The 27,094-nt window shown below is 39.2% G+C and overlaps 1 protein-coding gene across 9 annotated transcripts in view; it reads left to right on the forward strand.

Moving 5' to 3' along the window:
* STAC (SH3 and cysteine rich domain) overlaps nucleotides 1-27,094 on the forward strand; it is a 167,504-nt gene that overhangs the window by 120,799 nt on the left and 19,611 nt on the right. For all 9 annotated transcript variants that reach the window (XM_047448767.1, NM_003149.3, NM_001292049.2 and 6 more), the window contains 2 exons: nucleotides 3,091-3,155; nucleotides 4,444-4,532. In XM_047448767.1, the coding sequence (XP_047304723.1) occupies nucleotides 3,091-3,155; nucleotides 4,444-4,532 (154 nt within the window). The remainder of the gene's footprint in view (nucleotides 1-3,090; nucleotides 3,156-4,443; nucleotides 4,533-27,094) is intronic.

A 27,094-nucleotide genomic window follows, 5' to 3' on the forward strand; every position in this document is an offset into this window, starting at 1 on the left:
TAGAATAAACTCAGAAAAGCAGAAGGCAATAATAAAGACAAGAGCAGAAATTATTAAATTACAAAGATAGATCAATAAATCTTGAGTGTTTTTTAAACAAAATTACAATCTCTAATGATTTTTTAAGATAAAAGAGATGAAACAAAAATAAATACAAAAAAGAGAAACATAACAGAGATTGAAAAGAAAACCAAAGAATTTTATAACCAACTTCATGCCAATGTACTTTAAAACATTTTTAAATAGGCAGATATAAAGATAGATATCAACGATTAAAGCCTGACTCAAGAATAAATAGAAATAGGAAACATGAATTTTCTTATAATATTTATAGAAGCTGAATCAATATTTTAAATTTTGCACAATGACAATACTAGGCCTGAAAAACTTTATAAGTAAATTCTACGAAACATTTAAGGAAGAGAAAATTTTCAGATTACATAAGCTCTTTCAGAGAAACAAGAAGTAGCAAGGAGGAAGGACAGCAGCATTCTCCAACTCAGTTTATGAGGCTAGAAATATACTGACTTGAAACCCAAACAAGGATATCATGAAAAAGGAAAATCACTGGCCAGTCTTTCTCTTGAATACAGATGCAGAAATCTCAAGCAAAATCTCAGTAAGAACCCATAAAGTATTTTTAAAAGACATTGTGTAATTACCCAGTTGAACTTATTCCAGGGATGCAAATTTGGATTCACATCAGATAATCCAGTAATGTAACTTGCTGCATTACTAGGTTAAAAAAATAATAATCTAACTAAAAAACACAGTGGTCTTGGGCCTCACAGGTCTGCAAGGTAAAAAACAAAAGACAGCATATAGGATAGGAAAAGAAGAAAGTTCTTTGGGGATGTGGTAAGAACTAAAGGTTCATTTTGCTTCTGTAACATTAGAAACTATGCCTACATAATAGACATATTCTTTGAATTCTTGTTATGGGTGAAATAAACGACCAAGTTATTTTTCATGAAATAATTTAAAGCACCAAAAATAAAAGGTGTATGATATGTTTTCGGTAGTTACCTTTCTTTTCTCCGCTTTCATTAACTCAAAGTCTTATAAATGGTTGGAATAGGTTTAAAAATTATTTTTGCAACCTTCCATTTCTTCTTGCAACCATACATGAAAACATATATAGGGTCACTTCAAATATTTTTCAGCAAAGTTTACAAAGATGATACACATTTTGAGCCAGATGGCCAGAGGGAGATTCAATACAAAAATTAAAACAATGTGAAATTACAAAATTGTAAAATCAATCCACACTGAACATTGTATATGCACTTTATGTAGACGCCCTTTTAGGCCAAATCAAGAATTTTCTAGGAAGATTCTCTTTACATTTCCATTCAAATATTTAATATTCTTTCAGAGGTGTCCAGTTTTATACTTAGGGAATCAAGTGTTTACAGCAGGATTTCAGACAGTCATACATTACCAGAAAAAGGTTTTGCTAATCTCTACTCTTTTTAGACTGGTAGACATCAAGTTGAGTGGCCAAATATTGAGGCAGACAAGATTCATAGAACCGGGCCTTCGTTTTCTGGTTACTTACAAACCAGAGCTCCACCAATGACTGCATATTGGCTTCCTAGGGATAATGGAATTGCATCCATAAACTCTGGAACTATAAGCCAAGAAGAATAGATATTTGATAAGCATCAGTACATTTACAGAGGCTCTTGTTCTGAAGCACGTTTTCTATATCACTGTTGTTGAGGCTATTTTAAGAACAGTAAAGACTGTCAGTGCACTAATGAAATAGGTTATAGAGCTTTCTGTGGTGATCCCCTCCCTCTACTGACATTTCTTTGATAATCTGAAGGGAAATCAAAGAGAAGAATAAAGCAGCAATGTATAATCTAAAAATTTCAAGTCATCAAAATGGTAGAGTAATTTAAAGAACAAAGCTTTATTATATAAACTTGGAAATATTTACCACATTTTTGTTTAAGGAAAATACATATGATGAGAATGATAAAGCTATGACATAAGTTATGGATGTAGGTTAGGCTGACCAAACTAGATAAGGCAGAAGTCCCATTATCCATCAGGAACCTCCCACAGCTGGGTATGTGAACAATGAAAACTCTTGCTCATTTTGTTTATTGTTTTTTGTTTTTTTGTTTTTGTTTTTGTTTTTTAGATGGAGTCTCACTCTATCACCCAGGCTGGAGTGCAGTGGTGTGATCTTACCTTACTGCAACCTCCACCTTGCACCAGGCTTAAGCGATTCTCTTGTCTCAGCCTCCCAAGTAGCTGGGATTACAGGCACATGCCACCATGCTCAGCTAATTTTTGTATTTTAGTAGAGATGGGGTTTCACCAAGTTGGCCAAGCTGGTCTTGAACTCCTGACCTCAAGTGATCTACCCGCCTCGGCCTCCCAAACTGCTGGGATTATAGGTGTGAGCCACCGTGCCCAGCCTTCCTGCCCATTTTGTGAAGACTTGTCCACTATCAAAGGCTACAGAGTGGATACTTAAATACAAAAGGAAGAAAATTATACTTCCCAAGAATAAACTAAAAGAAAAACCAAATAGTAGCCCCAATGCACTGACAATAAGAAATCAAGGAAATATTTTGAAGTTTAAAACTAAAGCTTTAATCTTCAAAATATAATGTAGATATCTTCAAGAAACTACAATCAAGATACCGAATATAGATTAAAGAATCATATTTAGAAGAGGCAGCTCAAATACAACTAAATTGGACTATATCTCAACCACCACCCCATTAACAAGCGGTTTGATGCATTCAACAAGGACAAATGCTCCTGAGAGGTACACTACCAAATGAGATCAAATATGAACACACTACTGCCAATCATTACAAGAGGCAAGTGCTAGTCAGGCATGTACAAAAGTTGTGGGAGCACAGAGAAGGTGGTGCAGAATGCTGCATGGGGAGGCAGGAGAAGAGACATGTGGAAGACCACCTGAACGCTGGGTCACAGAGGGTGAGGAAAAGGCAATAAGTAGTAAAGTAGAAGCTATGGTACTTAGAATAAATAAAGCCATCTTTCAGGAATATTTGTTTAAATGGTAACTAGATTCATAGAGCACCTGCTTTCTCTTGTCTCCTTCAGTGTTTACATATCCAGAAAATGGCACTGATGATTTCAGAGATCCAGCGAAGAACATAAACCACCAGGTATTTATGGATGTCACAGAAGACAAGTCAGACAGGAGTCCTTAGATAGACCTGCAGGTCACCATCCAAGTGGGTCATGAAATCAATTTAGTGAGTCCAGACCAGCATCTTTAGAGAATAGAATAATATAGCACAACGTACCATAGCATGGAATAAACAGAACTAGCACAGTGCATAAAAGGTAAAAAGAGTAAGCATTGCACTGTGCACCTTTTGTTTCTGTTATATAATGTGTAGATTATAGAATTATATAATATATTATCACTGTATTTTATAGCATATATGTCATATTTTATGTTCATTTACATATCTAAAATTTAGACAAACTAGAATAATATTATATAATGTACCTGAGCTTTGAAGAGCAGAGTGAATTATAGATAAAAAGATATATATAGTTGTGTACAGCTTTTGTGTATGTTTTCTATAAATTTATAGCATGTATTTATATTAGTATATAGTTAGATATATGATGCAACTATATATGAGATAATATATAATTTTAACTTGTTTATTATAAAGCATAAATGTTTTTATAGCATTAACATTTATTTGGTTAGTAATAATAGCTAATATTTATATGATGCTTACAAGAGTCTTTTATCATCTGTAAATTGGGGACAAAAACAGAATCTACCTAACGGAGTTGTTGTTAAGTTCAAGTATGCTAATGCATGTAACATAATGCCTAGCACACAACAAACTATCAAAACAGCAGCTTGTATTGTCATTATTGCAAGGTTTCATTGCCAATAGATGGTGGTACCCTGATGTAAACTAAATCAGTCTCATGCCAAAACCTATGCTTTTTTCTCAACATAAATGAACTAATTGCCAGATGAATATACCTGGTTCCCTTTGATATACTAGATACCAACTTTTCGGCTAACTGATAAAACAGTTAATTTTAGGAAGTGAGAGTTATACACTACTATTCATGTGTCCCTCTTTCTTTAGAAAGAATATTCCCATTTCTGAAGTCTAACTTGTACCATTTTTCATGAACAACTATATTATCAAAGAAAATTTATTTGAAGAAAATTGCAATATTTCTGACAAAGAGTTCCAAATAATTGTTTTCAAATTGTTTATAGTGAAACCAACCTCGGTTAAGAAATTAAAAATAAATGCAAAGTTGACAGAAAATCTTTAATAATGGTTAGATAACACTTACGATCCATACACTGAAATTACATTGCAATGACTTCTCCATTTCCTGTTTTCTTTCTTTCCTCTCTCAATTTATTTCACCTTTCTTTTCTCATTTTTCTTTTATTTTCTCTTTCAGGGATCTCTTTCCAAAGACCCATTACAGATGAACACCTATGTTGCCTTGTACAAATTTGTACCACAGGAGAATGAAGATTTGGAAATGAGGTAAAAACCTTCTGTAAAGAAAAAAAAGAGTAAAATTTTAAAGTCAGTATTTCTCCATGTGAAAAAGTAAGTCCATCTGTGCCCCTCCTAATGCTTTATAGCTGTGATTCTCAAACTTTAGCATGTATCTAATGACCTGCAAGGCTGGTTAACACACAGGCCCTGTCCCCAGAGTTTTTGATTCATCAGATCTGAGGCAGGGCCTCAGAAGTTGCATTCCTAAGGAGTTCCCAGGTGGCACTGACAATGCTGTCCAAGGAACACACTTTGGGAAGCACCACTTTAGTACATGCTCAACAGAACTGCTAATGGGAGTTTTCATGAAGGTTGAACGTTAAATGCACTTGGCATCTGGTGGGGCCTAATAGGGAATCAAAAAATATATTTAATCAAATATCAGATAGTTGCTGATGTGTGGTGTTATTTCTGAGGCCTCTGTTCTGTACCATTGGTCTATATGTTTTTGTACCAGTACCATGCTGTTTTGGTTACTGTAACCTTGTAGTATAGTTTGAAGTCAGGTAGTGTGATGCCTCCAGCTTTGTGCTTTTGGCTTAGGATTGTCTTGGCTATGCGGGCTTTTTTTGGTTCTATATGAACTTTAAAGTAGTTTTTTCTAATTCTGTGAAGAAAGTCAGTGGTAGCTTGATGGGGATAGCATTGAATCTATAAATTACTTTGGGCAGTATGGCCATTTTCAGGATAATAATTCTTCCTATCCATGAGCATGGAATGTTCTTCCATTTGTTTGTGTCCTCTCTTGTTTCCTTGAGCATTGGTTTGTAGTTCTCCTTGAAGAGGTCCTTCACATCCCTTGTAAGCTGGATTCCTAGGTATTTTATTCTCTTTGTAGCAATTGTGAATGGGAGTTTATTCATGATTTGGCTCTCTGTTTATTACTGGTGTATAGGAATGCTTGTGATTTTTGCACATTGATTTTGAATCCTGAGACTTTGCTGAAGTTGCCTATCAGCTTAAGGAGATTTTGGGCTAAGATGATGGGGTTTTCTAAATATACAATCATGTCCTCTGCAAACAGAGACAATTTGACTTCCTCTCTTTCTATTTGAATATGCTTTATTTCTTTCTGTTGCCTGATTGCCCTGGCCAGAACTTCCAATGCTATGTTGAATAGGAGTGGTGAGAGAGGGCATCCTTGTCTTGTGCTGGTTTTGAAAGGGAATGCTTCCAGTTTTTGCCCATTCAGTATGATATTGGGTGTGGGTTTGTCATAAGTAGCTCTTATTATTTTGTCCTTCCATCAATACTTAGTTTATGAGAGTTTTTAGCATGAAGGGGTATTGAATTTTATTGAAGGCTTTTTCTGCATCTATTGAGACAATCATGTGGTTTTTGTCATTGGTTCTGTTTATGTGATGGATTATGTTTATTGATTTGTGTATATTGAAACAGCCTTGCATCCCCAGATGAAGCTGACTTGATCGAGGTGGATAAGCTTTTTGTCGTGCTGCTGGATTCGGTTTGCCAGTATTTTATGAGGATTTTCACATCGATGTTCATCAGGGATATTGGCCTGAAATTTTCTTTTTTGTTGCATCTCTGCCAGGTTTTGGAATCAGGATGATGCTGACCTCATAAAATGAGTTAGGGAGGAGTCCCTCTTTTTCTATTGTTTGGAATAGTTTCAGAAGGAATAGTACCAGCTAGTCTTTGTACCTCTGGTAGAATTCGGCTATGATTCCATCTGGTCCTGGGCTTTTTTTGGTTGATAGCCCATTAATTATTACCTCAGTTTCAGAACTTGTTATTGGTCTATTCAGGGGTTTGACTTCTTTCTGATTTAGTCTTGGGAGGGTGTATGTGTCCAGGAATTTATCCATTTCTTCTAAGTTTTCTAGTTTATTGGCGTAGAGGTGTGTATAGTATTCTCTGATGGTAGCTTGTATTTCTGTGGGGTCAGCAGTGATATCCCCTTTCTCATATTTTATTGTGTCTATTTGATTCTTCTTTCTTTTCTTCTTTGTTAAGTCTGGCTAGCAGTCTATCTATTTTGTTAATCTTTTCAAAAAAACCAGCTCCTGGATTCATTGATGTTTTGAAGGGTTTTTCGTGTCTCTATCTCCTTCAGTTCTGCTCTGATCTTAGTTATTTCTTGTCTTCTGCTAGCTTTCAAATTTGTTTGCTCTTGCTTCTCTAGTTCTTTTAATTGTGATGTTAGGGTATCGATTTTAGATCTTTCTTGCTTTCTCCTGTGGGCATTTAGTGCTATATATTTCCCTCCAAACACTGCTTTAACTGTGTCACAGAGATTCTGGTACATTGTGTCTTTGTTCTCATTGCTGTCAAGTAACTTATTTATTTCTGCCTTAATGTCATTATTTAGCTGGTAGTCATTCAGGAGCAGGTTGTTCAGTTTCCATGTAGTTGTGTGGTTTTGAGTGAGTTTCTTAATCCTGTGCTCTAATTTGATTGCACTGTGGTCTGAGAGACTGTTATGATTTCCTTCCATTCTTTTGCATTTGCTGAGGTGTGTTTTACTTCCAATTGTGTGGTCAATATTAGAATAAGAGTGATGTGGTGCTGAGAAGAATGTGTATTCTGTTGATTGGGGGTTGAGAGTTCTGTAGATGTCTATTAGGTCTGCTTGGTCCAGAGCTGAGTTCAAGTCCTGAAGATCCTTGTTAATTTTCTGTCTCATTGATCTGTCTAATATTTACAGTGGTGTGTTAAAGTCTCCCACTATTATTGTATGGGAGTCTAAGTCTCTCTGTAGGTCTCTAAGAACTTGCTTTATGAATCTGGGTGCTTTACATATTGGGTGCATATATATTTAGGGTAGCTCTTCTGGTGGCATTGACCCCTTTACCATTATGTAATGGTCTTCCTTGTCTTTTTTGATCTTTGTTGGATTAAGGTCTGTTTTATCAGAGACTATGATTGCAACTCCTGCTTTTTTTTCTTTCCATTTGCTTGGTAAATATTCCTGCATCCCTTTATTTTGAGCCTATGTGTGTCTTTGCACATGAGATGGGTCTCCTGAACAAAGCACACCGATGGGTCTTGACTCTTTATCCAATTTGCCAGTCTGCAACTTTTAATTGGGGCACTTAGCCCATTTTCATTTAAGGTTAATATTATTATGTGTGAATTTGATCCTGTCATTATGATGCTAGCTGGTTATTTTGCTTGTTAGTTGATGCAGTTTCTTCATGGTGTCAATGGTCTTTACAATTTGGTATGTTTCTGCAGTGGCTAGTACCAGTTGTTCCTTTCCATATTTAGTGTTTCCTTCAGGAGCTCTTACAAGGCATGCCTGGTGGTGACAGAGTCTCTCAGCATTTGCTTGTCAGTAAAGGATTTTATTTCTCCTTCACTTATGAAGTTTAGTTTGGCTGGATATAAAATTCTGGGTTGAAAATTCTTTTCTTTAAGAATGTTGAATATTGGCCTATACTCTCTTCTGGCTTCTAGGGTTTCTGTTAGTCTGATGTGCTTCCCTTTGTGGGTAATCCAACCTTTCTCTCTGGCTGCGCTTAACATTTTTTCCTTCATTTCAACCTTGGTGAATCTGACGATTATGTGTCTTGGGGTTGCTCTTCTTGAGGAGTATCTTTGTGGTGGTCTCCATATTTCCTGAATTTGAATGTTGGCTTGTCTTGTTAGTTTGGGGAAGTTCTCCTGGATAATACCCTGAAGAGTGTTTTCCAACTTTGTTCCATTCTCCCCATCACTTTCAGGTACACCAATCAAATGTAGGTTTGGTCTTTTCCATAGTCCCATATTTCTTGGAGGCTTTGTTTATTCCTTTTCATTCTTTTTTCTCTAATCTTGTCTTCACACTTTATTTCATTAAGTTGATCTTCAATCTCTGATATTCTTTCTTCTGCTTGACTGAAAAAAACAAGCAATGGAGAAAGGATTCTCTATTTAATAAACTGTGTTGGGAAAACTGGCTAGCCATATGCAGAACACTGAAACTGGACCCCTGCCTTACACCTTATACAAAAATTAACTCAAGATGGATTAAAGAGTTAAACGTAAGACCTAAAACCATAAAAACCCTAGAAGAAAACCTAGGGAATACCATTCAGGACATAGGCATGGGCAAAGTCTTCATGACTAAAACACCAAAAGCAATGGCAACAAACGTCAAAATTGACCATTGGGATCTAATGAAACTAAAGAGTTTGTGCACAGCAAAAGAAACTATCATCAGAGTGAATAGGCAACCTACAGAATGGGAGAAAATTTTTGCAATCTATCCATCTGACAAAGGGCTAATATGCAGAATCGACAAGGAACTTAAACAAATTTACAAGAAAAAAACCCCATCAAAAAGTGGGCAAAGGATATGAATGGACACTTCTCAAAAGAAGACATTTATGCAGCCAACAAACATGTGAAAAAAAGATCCTCATCACTGGTCATTAGAAAAAAGCAAATCAAAACTACAATGAGATACCATCTCATGCCAGTTAGAATGGTGATCATTAAAAAGTCAGGAAACAACAGATGCTGGAGAGGATGTGGAGAAATAGGAATGCTTTTACACTGTTTATGGGGCTGTAAATTAGTTCAACCATTGTGGAAAACAGTGTGGTGATTCCTCAAGGATCTAGAACCAGAACTACTACCTTTTGACCCAGCAATCCCATTACTGGGTATATACCCAAAGGATTGTAAATCATTCTACTATAAAGACACATGTACACGTATGTTTATTGTGGCAGTCTTCACAATAGCAAAGACTTGGAAACAACCCAAATGCCCATCAATGATAGATTGGATAAAGAAAATGTTGCACATATACACCATGGAATACTATGCAGCCATAAAAAAGGATGAGTTCATGCCCTTTGCAGGGACATGGATGAAACTAGAAACCATCATTCTCAGCAAAGTAACACAAGAACAGAAAACCAAACGCCGCATGTTCTCACTCATAAGTGGGAGATGAACAATGAGAACACATGGACACAGGGAGGGTAACATCATACACTGGGGCCTGTTGGGGGTTGGGGGGCTAAGGGAGGTATAGCATTAGGAGAAATACCTAATGTAGATGACGGGTTGATGGATGCAGCAAACCACCATGGCACATGTATATCTATGTAACAAACCTGCACGTTCTGCACATGTATCCCAGAACTTAAAGTATAATTAAAATATATTTATATATATATATATTTAATCTCCAAATTAACATTGATAGAAAAATCAAACTAAAACTATCAGAGTCAATCAGGAACTATCCACTTGGTGGTAACTGAAATACTAGATAGAATAGGTGAGCCTTGTGACCTTCTCAAAATCTAAACCATTCTCTTACCACAGCTTGAGGTTCCTCGTGTTTCAGGGGTTGTTAAGCTAGAGTCAATTCTGGGTTCACATCCTACTTGTTGTGTGACCTTAAGCAATTTATAAACATCTCATTTCTCTGATTTCTTTATTTATAAAAGAATAATAATGATCTCTTCCCCTTAAAGTATTTGGTGAGACTACAATGATAGAAAAGAAATTAAACACATTGGTGCCTATAATCATAAACACTCAGCAACGAGTACTTATCACAGTTTTTATAATGTGGTGTTCACTGGCCTATCTCAAGGAAAAGACTTCTGCTTCCATGCATTCATGACCCCAAAATGTGAGTAATCTCATGACAGGGGTCTCTGTGTTTTCCCATCCTAGAGCAGGATAGAAAAGGCTACTTTTCCAGTCAAATGGTCCCCTGGAGGTTCATTCTTTCCTCTTCTAAAAAAAATGCGGAGATAAATTAGCACTCAAAACTATTTAATTGCCAGAGCATTGGGAAAATAGACCACATTTGGAGGTAGACGCCACTTGTCTGAATGCTGTGCCAGCCAAATTATCAGTCACCAGTCACTCTCTTCACATGGCTTCTGGAAAGCCTGCCTCTCCACACTGGAGCGACCTGGGCTTTCCCAATTCTTCTGGTTTGTGTCATTTCCCACACATGGTCCACCACCTCAGTGAAATTACCCTTCTCCTCTTTCACCTACCCAAACTCTTATAAATAGTGAGAGCCACTGAAATGCTTCAGTTAGACCCTGTTTCCCAGGCTCCATATGCTATCAGGATCGGTTCCAGCAGCTCCACCACACCTCATGGTGGATATAATATCTAGCAAGACATCATAGCAGATTTATTTATCCTGCTGGAGTCTCACAACTCTCCCTGGCTCACACCCTGAGGTCAGCTTTGTTTCAGAATTAGGTTGAGATCTGCTGCCAGGTGATTCTTGGGTCTTTCCAGAAAAAAGTTTGGGGGCCTGAGTCCTGGCTCCTTAGATTTGTAGAGACAATTAAGGTCTTGTACATCTGAGTTTTCTCTATTGCTGAGTAAAATCGTCATGCTGAACTCACTGGCTGAAGTTGTAAATATTACCTGAACAGTCTAGCATAATCAGTGGGAGAGGAGGAGACGGGCTTTATCAAGTAAAGCCGTGTTCTGTTACAGACATGACAAGCCCTGTGAGCCAGAGCAGAGCCTGCCTAGAATTCCTCGCTGGGATGAAGCCATGCCTTCAGCAGATGACCCACAATTAACTATCTGCTGATGAAGACAAGGGTGGCATATATTTACTTTGCAATAAGTACACCATATTGGGTCCTTTTGAGATTGTCATTTGGGTGTGTAACATTTAAGATTTAACAGCTTTCTATTATAGAGATCCTACAGCTTTATATTAGAAGATTATTCTGAAGTCATAACATTTTTTTAAAAAAGTAATTTCAGAAAAAAAAAAGAATGTTACTGGGATAATGAGGAATGATGTCTAGCTGCCTGGTGGTGGTCATCACTCTGCGTGCTTATTTTAGTTGGTTGCAGGCCATTAGAAGTCAAGTTGTCTGGTCACGAATGAAACGTTTACAGTCTGCTTCAAGGCAATCAGGACTATCCATTCCCAGGAGTGAAATGTCTGCATTGCATAGACTGCAAGATTGGAGTGATAAATCACACATACTTTTTTTTATTTTTTTGCCAAGAGTTTGTAGGTTCCCATTATAAAAGCCAGGCACTTGATTTAGAATGTGTAAGGCAATCCTTTGGGAATGCTTTGGGATTCAGCATAACTCTTTGAATGAACTGGAGCTTTGTGAATTACCTTTTTCTCCTCAGATCATAAGGTAGAAAAAAATTCCTTTTAACAAAATAGCATTCTTATCCACCCACCTTCTGATCCAGGGGAGTACACTGGGTATTGACCTCAGGAAAGAGAACAAGGGAGTGAGGGTACAGGAAATGTTAGGAGTGTGAGCTTGAAGACAAAGACGACCCAACTGGCAAAGACAGCAGTTGTCAATCAGAGCAGATGAATCATCACATCAGCAAATATTCATTATATATCTGCTCAATAATAAGAAAAGCTTCTACCAAAGGCCAATGCTCCAGACCTCTCCCCGAACCTCCAGATTCACTTACCCACCTGCCTACCCCAGCAATGTACAGAGCATCGCAGCTCTGCCCTCTCTTCCACAAACCTGCCCCTTAGGATGAAAGATGTCAACCTCTGCCCAGGCCTCAAGCCAGCCAGGGAGAGGACTCACTCTACTTTTGCCCAAAATGTATTTGATGCTCAATTCCTACTCTTCTCTTTGCCTAAAATCAACTGTATCTATCCCCACCTTCATATCTTACCTGGACTGTTGTAAAAGAGCTTTCCTGGTCTCTGTGTTTTCAGTCTTCCTCTCCCTTCCTATCTACTATGGGTGATAGTGCACTAAGGTAACAGTACAGTGTTCTGGGCTTCATCTCATCTTTGGAGTCACACAGAATGATTCACATCCCTTCTCTACTTTCTAATAATAAGGCTTACTAACTAACTTTCTGAATCTGTTTTCTCATCTTGAAAACAGGGATAATAAGTCCTGCCCTTACCGCCCTTAGATCTAGCATCGATGTGATTATATAAGATAGCAATATCTGGTACATAGTAGGACCTTAATAATATTAATTCCAGTCAGTTCTTTTTTGTATTTCAAAAGTAGATGCTTCCTTTCCAGAATTAAGGAGGGAGAGAGGGAGCAAAAGGGGGGGAGGGGAGAAGAGAGAGAGAGAGAATATATGAGCATTCACTGAATGTTTAAGAATAAAAAGTGTGGGCATCAGTTGACCTGGGTTTAAGTCCTAGCCAAGCCACTGTCTAGCTGTGTGACCCCCATGAATCCTGAAAAAGTTACCCTAACCATCTGAGCTTCTGCTTCCTGACTTGTAAAAGGAGATAATCACTTTGCCTGCCCTAAGTCTGCTCGAAACACACATATTTGCTCAAAACTGTCCAATGTCCTCCCATTGCCCTGGGGTAAAATCTAGAATATTTATGGGGACTCCAGGACCCACAGTCTCATCCATGGTGACCTCTCTGATCCATCTACACTGGCCTTCTTTTTTTTTTTTTTTTTTTTTTTTTTTTTTTCACAAAAGGACCACACCGCCCACTTGCCAAAGGATTTTTCTTCCTGCAGAGTCTGCTTCTCCCTCCATCCTCCTACCCACAACCATCAAACACACACATTCACACACACACAGGCACACTCTTCCAGTTGACTCTGATTCATGCACTAGATCTCAGGTCAAATTTCATTTCCTTGTTGCAGCCTTTCCTGTTACCCTACTTTGGATTACATTCTTCTGTTATATTCTTTCATGATGCCATAGTTCTCTCAAACACTTATCTCTACTTGTATTTATATATTTCTGGAATTATTTGGCTAGTCTCTATCTCTCCTGTAAACTCCATGAGAACAAGTCTGTAATTACTAACCCTCATATCCCTAGAGCATGAGCTCATTCTTGAAACATAGTAGATGCATAGTAGATAATAATTATTTGACAAATGAATGAGTATTGTGGAGATTAAATGAACTAATGCTATGCCTGGCATATACACTTAGTGGGCAAATCAAGTCTATGATAATATAATGGAAACTGTAGGCCGGGCGCAGTGGCTCATGCCTGTAATCCCAACACTTTGGGAGGCCAAGGCAGGTGTATTGCCTGAGGTCAGGAGTTGGAGACCAGTCTGGACAACATGGTGACACCCCGTCTCTATTAAAAATAACAAAAAAATTAGCCAGGCATGGTGGTGTGTGCCTGTAATCCCAGCTACTCGGGAGGCTGAGGCAGGGGAATTGCTTGAACCAGGGAGGTGGAGGTTGCAGTGAGCCAAGATCACGCCATTGCCCTCCAGCCTGGGTGACAGAGCAAGACTCTGTCTCCAAATAATAATAATAATAATAATAATAATATAATGGAAACTATAAATGAGGAAGCAAACCAAGCTGAGGGTGGTTAGTCAGGGGGCCTGTTTCCTGGAACAGATGGGCCTGAGCCTAGGATAAATGTTATTCATCAAGAAGAAATTGTAAAGGGGGAGGCCAAAAGTAGCCTGTGGTTCCATTCACAAATAACAATGGTTTTAAGACAACTTGGAAGAAGCCCTGCTAAGCCTTTACTGAAGCTCTCACAGCTGAGAGGAAGGGTGGCCTCAGAGAGTATAAACCATAAACTGTTTGAGACAGGTCTCAGTCAATTTAGAGGTTTATTTTGCCAGGGTTGAGAATGTGCCTGGGAAAAAGAGATGCAAGCTACAGTAGGATAAGTGGTCTGTGCTTTTTCCAAAAAGGGTTTTGAAGACTTCAGTGTTTGAAGGGGAAAGGGCATCAGGAAGGTAAGGAGGAAAGAAAAAAAGTGGGGAGGGTAGGTAGTGAGATACGTGATGACATTCTTGTGAGACTTTGATTAATGCTCACTGAATCCACATGTTACAAGTGAAAGCGGGTAGAGGAACAGTCAGTTACCCATTTGTCTGGTGTTCAGCAGTAAATCTGCATTTTACATAAGATATGAATAAACACAGAGTAGAGGAAGCAGTCAGATTTGTCTCAGGTAGGTGGAGGGATGCTTTCTAGTCTTGTCTTTGTCCTGTACCTGTGAGGAAAAGCTGTTAACTTATATTGTCAGGGTGAGATTCAACAGAACTCTGTTTTAGGGTAGAGTTTGGGGCCCACAAGGAATTTCCTTGTGAGCAATTTGAGGGAGCCCACCTGGGGAGATATGTGGCCTTCTATCTTTGCAACTATCCGTTTAGGAACAAAAAGGAAGGCAGTTGTTGCGTGACTCAGATCCCAAGCTTAACAGTTTTTCATTTTTCTCCTTTTTTTTTTTTTTTTTTTTTTTTTGAGACAGAGTTTCACTCATGTTGCCCTAGCCAGAGAGCAGTGGCGCAATCTTGGCTCACTGCAACCTCCACCTCCCAGGTTCAAGTGATTCTCCTGCCTCAGGCTCCCAAGTAGCTGGGATTACAGGCACCTGCCACCACGCCCCACTAATTTTTGCATTTTTAGTAGAAACGGGGTTTCATCATGTTGGCCAGGCTGGTCTCAAACTCCTGACCTCGTGATCCTCCCGTCTCAGCCTCCTAAAGTGCTGGTATTACAGGCGCGAACCACCGTGCCCAGCCCTCATATTTTCCCTTTGACATAGTGAGCTTAGAGTCCTGAGATTTTATTTTCCTTTCACAAGAGGAAGAGCTGGTTGCTGCCCTCTTGTTCTTAGGTGAGTGAATACTTTTCTTAGAAGTGCCATGGACCCATCATTAGTCTCCAAATCCCATATAAAGGCAGAGACTTTATACAGTCTCCTTTGCTACAGTTCCAGTGCAAAATAAACTTCCTTTATTTTTTTTCACACTGCCATGAAAAATTAGAAATAAACTTCCTTTATAAATTAATTTGCTATTTCCCACCTAAACCTCTGGAGGTAATGCAGACCATGATAATTCTCTATCTTTCCACCATCAAGGGCAGAGAGCAGGACAGCAAGCTGGCAAGACAGAAAAGAGAAATTTCTGGCAGTCAGATAGGCCTGGGTCTAGTTTCCAACTCTGACACTATCTGTGTCAATTTTAGCAAACTGTTTAATCTTTTAGAGCCTCAGTTTTCTCCTTCCTAGGAAGACTGGGTATTAAACAGGATAATATAAATAAAATGTGGAATTTCATGCCCAGTACAAAGTGAGGTCACAGTAGATTTTAGATACCTTCTCTTCATAATTACATCTTTTCACAATGTATTTTCTCTCCTAGTCTTCTGAACAACCTCATTAACACCACCCTAAGGATATAGAGTAGAGAAAACACAGTTAAAGACTCTCCCTTTGAGCAGGCCCAATGAGACCTTGTCCAACTGGTCCAGCAAAAAGGGGCTGTGATATCCAATATTTATCTTGGGAGCAGGTTTTGCAGTTGCTGACATGATGAGCTATAATATGAAATTTTATCACTGATACCCAAGCTGTGATGCCATCATGCATGGGGTCTCGAACATTGCTGACAATTTGAGGCCTGATAACATTAAAGGGCTACCCAGGTTCTCCTATCAGGGTATAGCAGGGTGGTATAGTGGATAATCTCCTGAAATTAAGAGTCTTGGACAGGTTCCACCAATTACCCTTATTATCAACTTTTTTGAAGAGCCCTGAAAATTACACTTTATGGACTGCCAGTTTAATTCATGAACAAAGCTCTTAAATGCTGCTAAAAATACATGGCCAAGTGCAGTGGCTTATGCCTGTAATCCCAGCACTGTGGGAGGCCAACGCAGGTGTATTGCTTGAGCCCAGGAGTTCAAAACCAGCCTGCGCAACATGGAAAGACACCATCTCCACAAAAATAGAAATAAAAAATTAGCCAAGCATGGTGGTGCATACCTGTAGCCCTAGCTCTTCAGGAAGCTGAAGCAGAAGGATCACTTGAGCCCAGGAGGTTGAGGCTGTAGTGAGCTATGAACACACCACTACACTCCAGCCTGAATGACAGAGCTAGACCCTATCTATCTATCTATCTATCTAAATTAATTAATTAATGAAAATAGAATACAAACTGGAGAACCCTATTATAATCAGCACTGTTGTCATTATTATCATATACTGCTCTGTGAATTAACATAGACCATATGTCACATCATCCTTCTGGCCAAGTGGGTGTGTACATGTGTGTGATACACTTATACATGTAAATAACCTCCCACACACACTCACAGTCACACACACACACATACATGCACATACACACACACTTATACACATTCAAGTACACATTCATTCACACACACACAAGCACACACACATTGTTAGCCAAAGCTTGATAACCCACACTTAGTTTTGATGAAATTAAATCCTGCCTTCAACACTTACAACGTAACCAGTCACATTATCCTCACTGCTTTTGGGCTCAGCAGTCTGCAAAACAGAGTCTTGGAGTTATCACTTATTATTCACACCAAGGCACCTTTTTTAAGCTGATAAAAACTTTTCAATCAACAATGACTTTCATGACTTTGCTGAGTTGATATTTTATGTAAATAATCAGCAGATATAAATGACTTCAAGTAAACATAAACTCCTAAAACATCTTAGGGACACTGTAACAAAGGATTGAGAGTAAATAAAAGATTTAAAGGTTTAAATGCATATTTTAGCAATCATACAATGCCTGTTCCAAATAATTAATTTTGACTTCCCACATCTAAATCATTTTCGTTTTTATTAGCTCTCCTCAAACAGATTTATATGATAATGGCCATTTTTCATAAGGGTAGAAAAAAGAAGGAAAAAAAAAGACTATAAGCCAAGAGAGGAAAAGAGGGAACTGCTCTTTCAGTATTATTAAATCCTAAAATAAATACAAATTAATTACTACTTCAATGTATGTCAGAACACCTAAATTTGGGGGGCTTCAAAGAAAACCTATCTTCTTTTGTAACGCCAAGTGCAAATTTAGATTCATGAACGGCCGCTCCTGGAAGCAGCAAGTCTCAGATTCTCCATGGGCAAGTCTGAATGAAAGCAAGCAATCATTTCTCCCATTAGTTAGTATTTGCCAGAATTTCTGGAGATGGGATGGCCTGAATTCATCTCTTTGGGGTATTTTCAAAGCACTACTTTAAAAAGAGTTAAAAGTGATGTGAACTCTTGTATGCTATTTCCAGGATTTACTTCATCTATTCACCTCTCATCGCATGATAGCCAAGCATCTGCTCTTTTCTGGGAGAACCATTCACAGGCCCTGTTCTCAAAGAGCTCAGGCAGTCATGGGCCAGGGGACCAGCAGAAGAGTAGATCAGAAGTTACAATCCAGTGTGCAGGGCTGTGGGTGTGAGGTAGCCCAGGTAACTTACAGCAGCCTCAAAGGGACGTGAAAGAAGCTGGGATTCCAGAAGGAAGAGGGGTCATGGGTGGCTGGGAAGCCTTGTTAGTGAGCAGTCACTCTCTCTCCAGTGAGGAAAGCATAAGGGAATAATGGGGTTAAACTTCAGAACCAGATAATTACTTTAAGAGGTGCCAAATCAGGGGCAAAGGCAAGCCCCATTACAAAAAGAGGTGGTGAAAATTCATGGCAGAGGCAGGAGCATATTTAGATAACTACATTAATTCCAGTCTTGATTCTGAAAGACTGCCTTAAAACTTGGCAATGCTTAGTGAATGGACGCTTGGCTGTTTAGCTCATATTCCAGTGAGAAAATGTATGGTTCTTTTTTCTCTTTCTGGAGGTGAGGTAGGAGAACCAAGCCCAATAATTTACAGGTAGAAAATGGAAGCTTAGGACTAGAACCCTTGGAGGTGACTCCCAGTCCACTGATCTTTCTCCTCCACCACACTTTTGATCCTAGGTTCATTGTTCTAAGTTTTCTCTCTGATAAAGCTGACAATTCTATTTTAATCAGCAAGAGTAGGTAACACTTTATCCCTTTTTGGCCCCTCACATCACTTATTTTAAGTGCATTAGGTTTGTTAAGTATGGTTGCTAAGACCAGGAAGTTTGTGATCTACAGAGCATGTTACTGAGAAGTCACTCCGGTTAAAGGATAATTTTTTAAATTTAAGATAAAAACATGACTCTCGTGCAATATAAATTGAACACATGTCAGAATTTTTACATGGCTCATTAATTAATGAGAGAACCAGTAAGATGCTCCACCTTGTTCAAATGAGAACTCAATATATCACATATACATAGGCAATGAGGAATGCTGACAGGAATTTACAAATAGATGCAAAACCAGTCAGTAGTCACAGGATAAAGGGTAATAACTGACTATATTCCACCAGGCAAAGTTCACTTGCATTTCTTTGGACAAAAATCATTTGCATTAATATCAGTTTTCTACGACTTGCTTGAGATGTAAAATAGCTCAAAGGCATTGAAAAAGGGGAGGTAATCTGAAAGGATATGCCAGACGGGACATCCAGATCAGTCATGTTTTTTGCCCATTTCAAAGTCTTTCATAATTTTTCCTAGCATCCTCTTGAGTTCTTTTAATAAATCTCAGAGGTTACCCAAGCAAGTAGTATTTCACAGAGGAGAAAACTTGAGTTAGAATGGTTAAGTCACTTGTTGCAAGCCATAAGAATCTCCTAAAAAATATTATTAAAATAGAGATTCCTGGGCTTCACCTAGACCTAGAGAGTCAAATCCTACTTGGAAATCTGTATGGTTAAATGTCCTCCTGGATTCTGATTATCTGCACTATCTGAGAACAACTGTGACTTATCCAAAGATAGGCAGTGGGCCAGTGGCAGACTCAAAAACCAGAACAGAGGTTTCCCGATTCTGTCAATGCTCTGTGCACAGGTCTGCATTGGCTTTCTGACCTGTGACTTGTGTACATTCTAATGTCCTTCACCCTGCAAGGTTTCAAGGCAGAGTAAGACAGAATAAGGCTCCCTTGGTGTCTCGTTTCTATTCTCTAAGTACATTACTGCTTGGCAAATGCATCAACTTAATTAAAACTAAATGTAATTCTAATGCACCAATTTGATTTAAAAATAATCTTCACAGTCACCAGGACATCAAAATGCAATTAAGGCTATTTGAGGAAAGTCTCTGATGCATATTATGCTCTGATGCTGCACTATGTCAAGAAACCCAGATCTTCCCAAATGTCACTAATGTGTTTAGCAGCCTCCCTCTCACTCAAATGCCTCTCTCATTTAGGTTCTGGAGAGCGTGATCCATGACAGTTCAAGAACATTTACCAAATTCCTTCCAAATTGCCCTTCAGTTGAATGCTTTTCTCTGAGCTGGTCTATGGACTTGGGAAAGTGCAGGCAGTCTCGTGGATATCAGGCTTAAGACAAAATCAAAATGCAAATTCAGGAGTTCCTTATTACATACCCATGTGCCAAGACTGTAAAAGATTCTGGACCAAGATAATGTAAATTGGGAAATAAGTCTGGTGAAAAATTAAGTCATAGATCTAAGATTAATGGAGCCATTTGGCTGGCTCCTTTTTCTGCCCCCTTCAGCTTGGTTTTTCAAGGGTATCTATTTTTGCTGAGTGACTGGTTGCTATAAACTTGATTTAAGGTTCGTTTTGCCTAATGAATGAGAAAGGGCAGGAAATATTAAAGAGGCTCAAAATAACTATATAGTAAAGTGGGCAGTTCTGATGAGTTTTGACACGGCATGGGTGGTGCAAGAGGCAGCTTGATTTAGTGGAGTTAGTTATAGATTCAAACCTTGCCTGTAAATGGTGAAATCTCTCTTAGCCTGCCTACTTGTATGAAAATGCAACTGTTCATGACAACATTTAGTGAACATTGCCATCGCCCTCTAGGCTCAACCCTGCCAACATCTCCATTACAATCAGCCACCTGGGTAATAGAATACTAGGTCCAGCTCCTGGGCCCTGATACACCTTTGTGGTCACTACGTGGAGTGGACAAGGAAGGGGAAGAGGGACAGTATGAAGAGAGGGAGAAGGTTTTCCATAGCTCCGAATCACACCAAATGTTAGCGTCTGAAGCCACTGAAGTCAAGGCTATTTCATTAACCAACCATCCCTGCCAAAAACCTAATGAGACATAAACGTAAAAGGCAATGATTAGAATAAATCTTCTAATTTACAAGTGGAAAAATGCAGGTTTACATGAAAATTAGCAATTTTAAGCCCTACTGTATATCAATCACAGTGATAAAGACTTAACTTTGAGGCCAGGCATGGTGGCTCGTGTCTGTAAGCCCAACATTTTGGGATGCTGAGGCAGGAGGATCATTTGAGGCCAAGAGTTAGAAACCAGCCTGGGCAACATCGTGAGATCCTATAAAAAATTTTAAAAGTTAGCTGGGAGTGGTGTCATGTACCTGTAGTCCCAGATACTTGGGAGGCTGAGCAGGAGGATTGCTCAAGCCCAGGAGGTAGAGGCTGGAGTGACCCATGATTGCACCATTGCACTCCAACCTGGACAACAGAGTGAGACTGTCTTTAAAAAAAAGAAAAAAAAGATTTAACTTTGCAAAGTAAATATAGCTCACAATAATTTATCATGCATAATATATAAGTATATAAATATAATTGAGATAGCCAATCCTCAAAGAGACATGTATTTGGGATTTTTGTTTGGGATCAGTTCTATATTTGTTTGTCATCTCCCCACCATGCTAGCATTTGCTTCTCCCTCAGGGATGACCCTTACTTTAAACAGTTTATTGTCTTTATCCTTTGAAATTACTGACATCTTGAAGGCAGTAACTATGTCTTTACAATAACAGCCACCATCTAATGGGCGCTTATCTAAATATGCATTACAAATATTTTGTCATTTAGTCCTCAAAAAATATTGATGGGGTAAGTGCTATTATCCTAACCTTACAGATAAGAAAACCCAGGCTTAGATAATTTTTTTGATTTTTGTATCCCCCAATGCACACCCAATACCTGATGTTTTATAAACATTCAGAAAATACTTGAATGTCATAGAGTTTTCCTAGGATAAATGAGCAGAAATGGAGGAGTGAGACAAGACTCCTTTTCTTTGAATTTTAAAACATTCAGAAAGCAAAGGCCCTAGGGCATTCTGCTTTTACCATGTGCTTCCCAAAGTAGGGCCAATCTGAGGTCTCAGGTTGTCTCAGATAGTAGAGAAAATGTTTCTCTCAGAAGCAGTGTCCTCATCTGGAGGGTGTCGTGTCTCCTCTCCTAGGAATTTGTGCTCTACTTGGGGATTGGAGAGAGGCTGGGCTGGGCGGGGGATGCCTCAGGGCAACTCATACTCCTTCCTCCAAGACCCCACCCTGGAAGATCAAACCATCTTTCTAACATCTTGCAGAATAGTTCCATGTAGCTGGCCAAGCTCAGCTCATATCATTCATACCCTTTGTGTACACTGAGTCCCTGCAGACAGTTTACCTGGTGGTGGAAGAGATGGTTCCAATGCCCATATGAAAAACTGAGAAATAAGAGAGACAGGACTGCTGAGAATGAACCCAGAAAGCAACCATTGGTTCTCACGCACATGTGTGCAAGTACACACACACTCAAAATTAAACCCTGTCCTCCTCACTGGTAAGCCATAATTCTGTAGTTGCTTTTGTTATTTTATTCTAATTCTTGTGAGCTCACAGCCCTTTCACCATTTCAAGAGTTCCTATAAATCATTATATAACTAACTTGCAAATCTTCCTCTGGGCCTATGGCAAATTTTACTGAGCAAACAAAAGCAAAAGGCCAGCTGTGGTGCTCTGACCTCTTTTCACTAAAGGAAACTGATGCTTGAATTGTTTATGAATTGCATTATACTTTACATCATGGTATACAATTGTGGATTACAATGTAAGCAAAACCTTTACCTGAATGTACAATGCTCTGATTGAACTAAGCAAAGGAAATGTTTTTTAAGTAACTGGGGGCCCATCAAGTTGGTCCCAAGAATTTGGAAATAGAGTTAAATTGTAAACTCTAGACGTAATGTATCAAGAACATAAAGTCTCCTAAAAGCAAGAGAATAACTATTAAGCCAGAGAAGGACTTTTCTCAAATGTGCCTGTAGTGTGATAACCTGAATGAAGAATTATTCCATGGAAAGGGCCTGACAGCCACAGAAGCATGAAACAACTGAGGGCAGAGTCATGGATTAGCCAAGTCTAACCTGGGGAAAGGAGAATTTTAAGCATTAGGCCACCATTCCTTTGGGACCAATGGCACGGCTCTCCCTAAATTGAGCCAGTTGGCAGAATGTTTTCATTTGTTTCTTTGATGACATCGCACAACACACCAACACCATGGCAAGAGAAGATAACTAAATTAAGAAAGGGTTCAGAAGAAAACTCACAGTTGAGAGTGAAGGGTTGCCACTAAGGGCAACACAGAAGGTTGCTGTGGGAGTCAGGGTAACAGGAAGCTGGAGCTACAGTAGGCAGATTATGTATGGCAGGCTGTGGGGTAGGCTAGGTTTCCAGGGGCTCCCTGTAGATTGATTAATTTGAATAATTTTCACAGGTTCCAGGGCACAGGGGATGTCCCACATTATCTAGTACCTGGCTCTAGAATGGGACATTAGGGGTGGTACAGAGTGGCCCAGAGTACAAGAGCCCCCATCAAGGAGTTGTTGGGGTGCGGACTTAGTCAGCTGCTTAAGAAGGGGAACTGACCAGCCTCCAGCTAGAGCCTCAAAACTGGGTCAAGACTAATTTTTAACAAATAATAATAAGCGGGCCAGGCGCGGTGGCTCACGCCTGTAATCCCAGCACTTTGGGAGGCTAAGGCAGGCAGATCATGAGGTCAGGAGTTCGAGACCAGCCTGGCCAACGTGGTGAAACCCTGTCTCTACTAAAAATACAAAAATCAGCCAGGCATGGTAGCGGGCGCCTTTCTTCCCAGCTACTTAGGAGGCTGAGGCAGGAGAATCGCTTGAACCTGGGAGGCAGAGGTTGCAGTGAACTGAGATAGCACCACTGCACTCCAGCCTGGGCGACAGAGTGAAACTCCATCTCAAAAAAATAAATAAATAAATAAAATATATGTATATAAAAAATAATAAGCTATGTTACACAGAGTGGTTTCATCTTGCATGCCTACTCAGATCCACCACCTAGAGCCCAGTGTTGAAAAGGATTCTAAATCAGAAGGCAGGCTCTGTGGGAAAGAGTGCTGAGATTGTTGGGTGATGCCTGGAAGGATATGGGGGCAGTAAAAAATCCCACAAGCCACAGATTTGCTGGCCTAGATGTTAGAGAGTTACTACCTTGGATTCAAGGGCTACCCTCGAGCAAGATCCTCTCTATAGTGAAAAAGAGGCATTAGCTATCTCTGCCAGGTACTTAGAGCGTTTGGCTAATCTCAAGAGGAGTCTACTGGTCCTTTTTGGCTACATCTTCTAACTTCCCTCATAGTCCTTATGCCAATTTACAATTATATACTTAATAATTATACATATGTGATATGTTTATTATTAGTATCTATTTATTAAGTTTTTTTATCTATTTACTTGTTTATTGTCTATCTTTCTCACTATACTATTAGCTCTAGTGAGGATTTTATTCACCAGAGTAAACCCAGTGCCTAGTAAGATGACACTCTTTCAGAGCCCACATTCTATAAATATTTGTTGAATGAGTGGGTAAACAAAAACCAAAGAAATAATAAATGGATAAATAAATCACTCACCAAGCAATTTTCTGATCCTGGTGGAGCTCTTTTTTAGGAAAGGACAGAACCCTCATCACACTTCCAGAAGTATGTCTGGTATTTCTCATAAGATTATAGCCTGTTATCCCAGTGAGTGCCTTATTCTAATGTGTAATTCAGTTAATGAGGGTCAAGTGCTGGGGACTGTCCACCTCTAGGCACAGCCAAGAGTGAGTCTCTCAGTAGACTATAAAAATAGAGGTCGGATTGAGGCAGCACCCTCTTTCACCCTTAGGGAAAGGTACCTCCCACAGTCTGCCTCTTTCACTCTTAGGGAAAGGTACCTCCCCCAGCTTTATTCCCTATTTACAGTTTCTGCCAGAGCAGCAGCAAAGTCATTGTGTTTGATACTGACTCATGGTTTCTTAGGTTACTGGTTTAAATAAAATCTGCTGGGGCTTAGAAGATTTTTCTACATTGACTTTCATCCTTGCTGCTTAATTAAATCCCTGACCTGGGAAAGAGTGATTTTCAGCCACCTCGCTTTCTGCGGCATCAGCATGAAACTGTGACTGTTGAAATACCAAAATGCCAGTTGTGCTTAATGCTGCAGATGTGACAAGCCTGTTATATTTGGAATCCCTGATGAAGATAGATATTAACTGAGAATTGAAAATGACAGCAAAGGAGATTGGATCAGAATAGCAAAATGAATACGCAAATCTACTTTTGCTCCAATTCCTAAACATGTCAGAAAATACATTTTTTTTAACACATCTATAACAGTACTAGAAAACAAGAACGCATGCTAAGAGAGAACCAGAAATCTTGGGAATTTCCTCGCAGACTACAGCAAATGCAGTTGAATTGTGAACAATGAAGATGACCAGAGACCAAAGAATACTCAGGACAAAACAGCTATAGAAGGGGGAGCACATTTAAAGAGACCCGGAATGCACAGGACTTCACTGAAAAGCGTGAGAGTCTGCAGTGGATTGATTGCATTAATGGCCCTAATTATTCACCCCCCCTCCCCATATTCATGCCCCTGTCATGGGACTTTGCAGTTCCTCCCAAAACAGAGGTGGATGGAGCCTGTTACCCTATCCCTTGAGTCTGAACTGGCCTTGAGACTTGCTTTGGCCAATGAAATGAAGCAAAGTGACAATGTGTCAGTTCTGGATCTAAGCCTTAGAGGCATCATGTGCTTTGCATGTTTCCACGCACTGCTCCTGAACTTTGATCATTGCTATGAAACTGACCTTCCAAGGAATGAGAAATGTGGAATAGGGCAAAGTCACCCCAGTCACCTCAGCAAAAGCCAGCCAACACCCAGGCCTGTGAGTGAGCCATTGGGGTTTTGTGGCTGTTTATCACACAGCATTACTGTGACAATACATAAGTGATACAGTCTCAACTGTATTCATAGCACCGCATTACTACTTATAATGAACAATTGGCAGCAATGATGTTGAACTCCAGAATTAAGCCAACACCTATACTCTAAAGAAAAAGAACCCATGCCTAAGGAGGGCTCTTATGTGAGCATAGAAGCCTGGGAAATAAGAACTGTGTTGAGATAACTCTGGACCTTCAGACCTTCTAGAGGGCATGGAAAAAAGGAAAAGGCAGCTCTACTTAGGAGAAAAATAAGCTGACCTTTTCTCTCACCAGTGGTAAGAAAATCCTCCTTGCTACAGCTATTAGGATAGGAGGAGGAGGCGGCACCATACTGCTTATCTGCTATACGTTCAAGTATCCAAAAGGGAGGAGACGCACCAATTGACACACGCTGCTCCCTTAAACAGAGCCTGTAAATAGCCCTTGCACTTGAAAGGGAGACCCATGGCAGACCATAGGTATAGAATAGCGGAGAAGCCTGTCCACATCCACCTACCTCCATTTTCCATTTTCAGTCTTTCATAAAAAGAGATAACCAAGAAACATTAGATTTTAGAAAAAATACTTGACATAAAAAAGAAGTAATAAGATAAAGGATAGGCCAACTAATTTCAGAGGAAACAAATATTCAGTAAAAGAAAGAAATATTGTTTTGAAAATATAATAATCTCTATACAATCCATTATAACATTGCATCCATGATGGAAAGCCACTTTCAGAACTCTTTCAGAAAAGAATAAGGAAATAATGAGAAAGAAAGAAAAATTTCAGAAATAATAAAGAACCCTTAGAAACTATTTTTTTCTAAAAATGTTTTCTGAAAACTTTTTCTAAAACAATTCTCAGTATTATGATAAATAATAGAAGACAAGCCCAAATACAAAATAAATGATCAGGAAAATAAAATTGAGAAAAAAATTTAAGAACATAGAGGAAAATAAGACTGTAAGTGTGTAAGAAAGACAAAAAATGTGAGGATGGATTCAGAAGGTCCAGTATGTGTTGACAAGAAGTTCCAGAAGGAAAGAAGAGAGAACATCATAGATGGGAGAAAAACATGAAAGAAATAGTAGAGAAAGTTTTCCCAGTGTGAAAAATAACAGCCTTCCAATTGTCACAGCTGTGTTGAATAGAAAGAATTAAACAACAAAAACACATTAGTCTTCAGCCAAACCCAAGTAATTCTTGATGAATGATGTAGAATGTTGACACACACACACACATGCACACATACACAAATCTAGTACAAAACTCCAATTACACCAGCATAAAAGATGGCAGACAGGAAAAATGGAGCTAAGCAAAAGTGTGCTAGGTTTTGAGAGGGTATTGGGAAGGTGTAGATAATGATAAAGATAATGACCAATTCTAGATGTCAATACTAAACAAAAAAAATACATGAACATATCTATGTATAAATGTAAGTGTGTGGGAAGGAGTCTAGAAGGACACACAGGGGACGGGAGGTAGATCATGGGGCTGAGAAGAAGGGAGATTTGTATCTTGAAATTTTGGAGCTTCATGATCATTTATGTATCAAACTACAGGTAACAGTTATTTTTGGCTGGGCTGGATGACTCACGCCTGTAATCCCAACACTTTGGGAAGCCGAGGCGGGCAGATCGTGAGGTCAGGAGATTGAGACCATCCTGGCCAACATGGTGAAACCCCATCTCTACTAAAAATACAAAAATGATCTGGGCATGGTGGCAGATGCCTGTAATCCCAGCTACTCGGGAGGCTGAGGCAGGAGAATAGCTTGAACCAGCG

This window comes from Homo sapiens, chromosome 3 (assembly GCF_000001405.40).
Source record: "Homo sapiens chromosome 3, GRCh38.p14 Primary Assembly".
Lineage (NCBI taxonomy): Eukaryota > Metazoa > Chordata > Mammalia > Primates > Hominidae > Homo > Homo sapiens.